Here is a 3,814-nt window from a genome sequence, read left to right on the forward strand (position 1 = left end):
ATCTCTACTAAAAATACAAAAAAAAAAAAAAAAAATTAGCTGGGTGTGGTGGGCACCTGTAGTCCCAGCTACTCGGGAGGCTGAGGCAGGAGAATGGTGTGAACCCGGGAGCGGAGCTTGCAGTGAGTCGAGATCGCGCCATTGTACTCCAGCCTGGCGACAGAGCAAGACTCTGTCTCAAAAAAAAAAAAAAAAAAAAAAAAAAGCATCTACACAGCATTATTCTGTGCAAAACACAGCCCACAGCAGGTTTCCAGTTGTCAGAACTGACTCCCCAGTGTGAGCTCCTCCACTCCTCACCTGTCATTAAGGGCGTCATTTCCATAGAGAACGTTCTTGAAAATCAGCCCTTCTATGAAGCTTCTTTCCAACATACCCCTCCCTGTTCTTTCCCTTCCACCTGGCAACAGAAGACATTTTCTCTTCTCTTTGAGCACACTGGGACTACATGCAGCTCCTGGGGAAATTCTCCAAAGAAACAGATTCTTGCTTTTAACTCCTGACCTACTCACACAACAGAGCCCACAGCAGGAAGGCCCCATTCTCGGCCTAGTGAGCTGAGGTGTTGCCACCCACTAGGCACAGCTGCTCTGCTAATTTTAGACCTCTCTGAGAAGTCACTTGACTTCAAGGCACTTGGAGACACACATCACACCCTGTCTCAGGAGGTGGTCTGGGGTGGGGCTCACTCTGCTTTCAACACCCATAACACCTTGTAACCTACAAAAGTGACTTTTTTTTGGAGGTTCTCCTCAATAAATGATAAAAAATAAATGACAACACTCAAAATGAGCTGTGAAACTGAAATTTGTTTCCACCTGGTCTAGCCCTGAAGCCTTAGGTGCCTTATTCAGCTGCCTGATCTTTACCAGGCACCACCTCATATTCCACACATCCACAGCTTAACCCTGGTGAGTGCCGCCTGGGGCAATTTTAGTCACCCAAGCTAGGACCCTCAGGACAACCCTGACTACCTTCCATCTCTCTCCAGTCACTAAATCTTAAACTGAAAACTATTTTGTCTCCTAAATAATGTTTGCAAACTTCCCCTCTATTCTGGCACCCTCATCCCATTTCAGGTTCTCTTCAGCGTCTCCCTGCACACTGCAGCAGTTTGCCCACAGTCACCCCGCCTTCTGTCTCATCCTCAAAGTCTAGCATCTATGGTGATCTTTCTAAAACCATGTCTATATCTCACTTAAACCCCTTCAAGGCATCCTGTCAGGTTCTCCAGCCTATCTGCTCATTAGAATCACCTGGGCCCTTAAAAAAAAAAAAAATCAGTTCCTGCTTCCATTCCCAGAGATTCTGATTTAAGTGGACTGGATGGGAGAAAGAAACCATATTTCTTTTTAAAATTTCCCAGGAAATCCTAATGTGCAAACATGGTTGAGAACCCCTGACCTGCAGGATAAAGTCCAGGCTCCTTCCCATGGCACCCAAGATGCTCCTGACTGGGCCCCTGGCCACCCTCTCCGGCCAGCCTCACTCCTGGCCAGTCCATGCCTTTATGTGCCAGCAACACTGAACTGCTTGCAGCTCCCAGCATTGCTTATGCTGTTCTCGCTGTCTGAAGTGCCCTCCCTACTGGTCCAACCAACATCACCTTCTACAGAAAGCCATTCCTGACTACTTTCCCTCACCTCCAGGTGCCCCGTGAAACTTTGGATGTGTCTCTATTACCGAACATTCACATGATTTTATGATACCCATCTTTCTTAAACACAAGGGAGACATTTATTTATACAGGGATAGTTCACAGAGCCCAAAGCTGCTGAAACTATAGCTGGGCCTCTCAAGCACTGGAACCCTGAATTAGAAAGCTTTCAGATACCAAGGTGCTTTCTTTCAGTCATTTTCTCTCACTGGGTTACGTGGCTTCTGGTGTCTGTTCATTGCTTTTGGATCTCCTTGGCAGACAACATTCTCTACCTCTGTGTACCTGGGTGGGCCAAAAATGGGCACTTCACAAAGGCTGAGTCAACTCCTGAAGGCCGTGTTCTCACTTCCAGCAATACTGACCAACATCCTGGCTGTCAATTCTAAAGTCCCTGAAGAGAGAATCTTATTGGCCCAGGGGTTCACCCTTGTCCATCAGCTGTGGCCAAATAGGGTTGCTGCGTAAGAGGCAAGTCTTGAAAAAATAGAGAGGAGTCATAGGATTAGCAGACTACCTAAAAGGTGACAACTATGCCCCAAGAGTCAAGGAATTCTTGAACTATGTGATAACCATGTATAGGTCAGCAATAGAGACCAAGTGCTGTGTGAGCCCAGAGGAGTAAACCATAGTAGTCTTCGATGTCAGGGAAGTCCTCACAAGAAAGTTGGCACTGGGCCAGGCATAAGAGAAAATAAAGGGCAAATGGCAATATCAGCAAGATACCTAAAAATTAGGCTTTTATGTGAAAGTACAAGAAATGGACTGAAATGGTGGCAAGATACCGGGATCAGCAGATGGGCCTAAGTTTGGTTCAGACTGTGAGAGTCTTTAAGTGACAGAATAAAAGTCTGGTCTTCACTGCTCAAGAGGGGGTTCCTCTCAGAGGACCTCAATCACTCAAGTAAGGAGAAGGGGGAGTCAGGAGACCCAGGGAGAGGCCCTTTGGGTCTGAGTTAAAGCAATGAGTCACTTCTTACTACTTAACAATGCAAAAAGCACTTTGCGGCCGGGCACTGTGGTTCAAGCCTGTAATCTCAGCACCTTGGGAGGCCGAGATGGGTAGATTACCCGAGGTCAGGAGTCTGAGACCAGCTTGGCCAACATGGTGAAATCCTATCTCTATAAAAATACAAAAAATTAGCTGGGTGTGGTGGCAGACACCTGTAGTCCCAGCTTCTCAGGAGGCTGAGGCGCGAGAATTGCTTGAACCTAGGAGGCGGAGGCTATAGAGAGCAAAGATCATGCCACTGCATTCCAGCCTGGGTGACAGATCAAGACTCTGTCTCAAAAAAAAAAAAAAAAAAAAAAGCACTTTGCCTGTGTTACTTCCTCTAATCCTCACAGTATCGTAGTGTGGGGGAGAGCTGGCTTTTATTTTACCCAGATTACTGAAGAGGAAAATGTGGTTCAGTCCGGTTATGCAACTTGCCTAAGATCACATAACTAACTGGCAGAAGCATGACTTGAATGTAGATTCTGAAGTCTAATTCTGAAGTCTATTCTCATTCCAGGGCACTGGGCTACCCAGCAATGGAAAGCTCAAGCTAAAACTGCCTTGGGTTATAATATAGAGAAAGACTGAATAATGCTGGAAAAAATATTTTTATTATTGACTAATGACATAGAAAAATGCTCATGATATGATACTGAGTGATGGAGAAAAGATTGACTACCAGACTGCATAAGCATTGTGGTGCTAATCTTAAAAAGTGTATTCTGTGCTCGTCTGTCCTGTGGACAGTGGTCAGGCTTCAGCCCCATCCCTGAGAATGGCCCCCTCTGAAAATCTTCCTTCTTTTCAACTATACTTTGCAACCATGGTGCATTCTTTTGGGTTATTCAATCACAGGGATGAAAATTTTAGTGACTGTCTCGTACCATGAATCATAGCAATTTTAGTCATAAGATAACTCTCACGTTCTACTATAAATAGGGCTGGGCTTTCATTACTAGATACACAGTAACAATTAACAATAAACAGTAGTTTTTCATAAATGGATACTGAGAGAAAATATTACAACCCTGAGTCACAATCTTGGCTAAAAGAATTGTATAATTATCTAATGTATTTTGGACTGTTGAAATATATACTTCATATTGCTCAATGATGGAACATTTTTCTTTATAAGTATTTTGTAAAAGAATCTCTTGTTT

The 3,814-nt window shown here is 44.5% G+C and overlaps 3 annotated features.

Moving 5' to 3' along the window:
• Positions 335-484: an enhancer, noted in NCBI's record as "active region_2145". NCBI's record gives its function as "activates an Ori minimal core promoter by ATAC-STARR-seq in GM12878 lymphoblastoid cells {active_cell/tissue: GM12878}" and the evidence as "EXISTENCE:reporter gene assay evidence [ECO:0000049][PMID:35858748]".
• Positions 495-634: an enhancer, noted in NCBI's record as "active region_2146". NCBI's record gives its function as "activates an Ori minimal core promoter by ATAC-STARR-seq in GM12878 lymphoblastoid cells {active_cell/tissue: GM12878}" and the evidence as "EXISTENCE:reporter gene assay evidence [ECO:0000049][PMID:35858748]".
• Positions 2,739-2,818: an enhancer, noted in NCBI's record as "active region_2147". NCBI's record gives its function as "activates an Ori minimal core promoter by ATAC-STARR-seq in GM12878 lymphoblastoid cells {active_cell/tissue: GM12878}" and the evidence as "EXISTENCE:reporter gene assay evidence [ECO:0000049][PMID:35858748]".

The sequence above is a fragment of the Homo sapiens genome, chromosome 1 (assembly GCF_000001405.40).
Source record: "Homo sapiens chromosome 1, GRCh38.p14 Primary Assembly".
Classification (NCBI taxonomy): domain Eukaryota; kingdom Metazoa; phylum Chordata; class Mammalia; order Primates; family Hominidae; genus Homo; species Homo sapiens.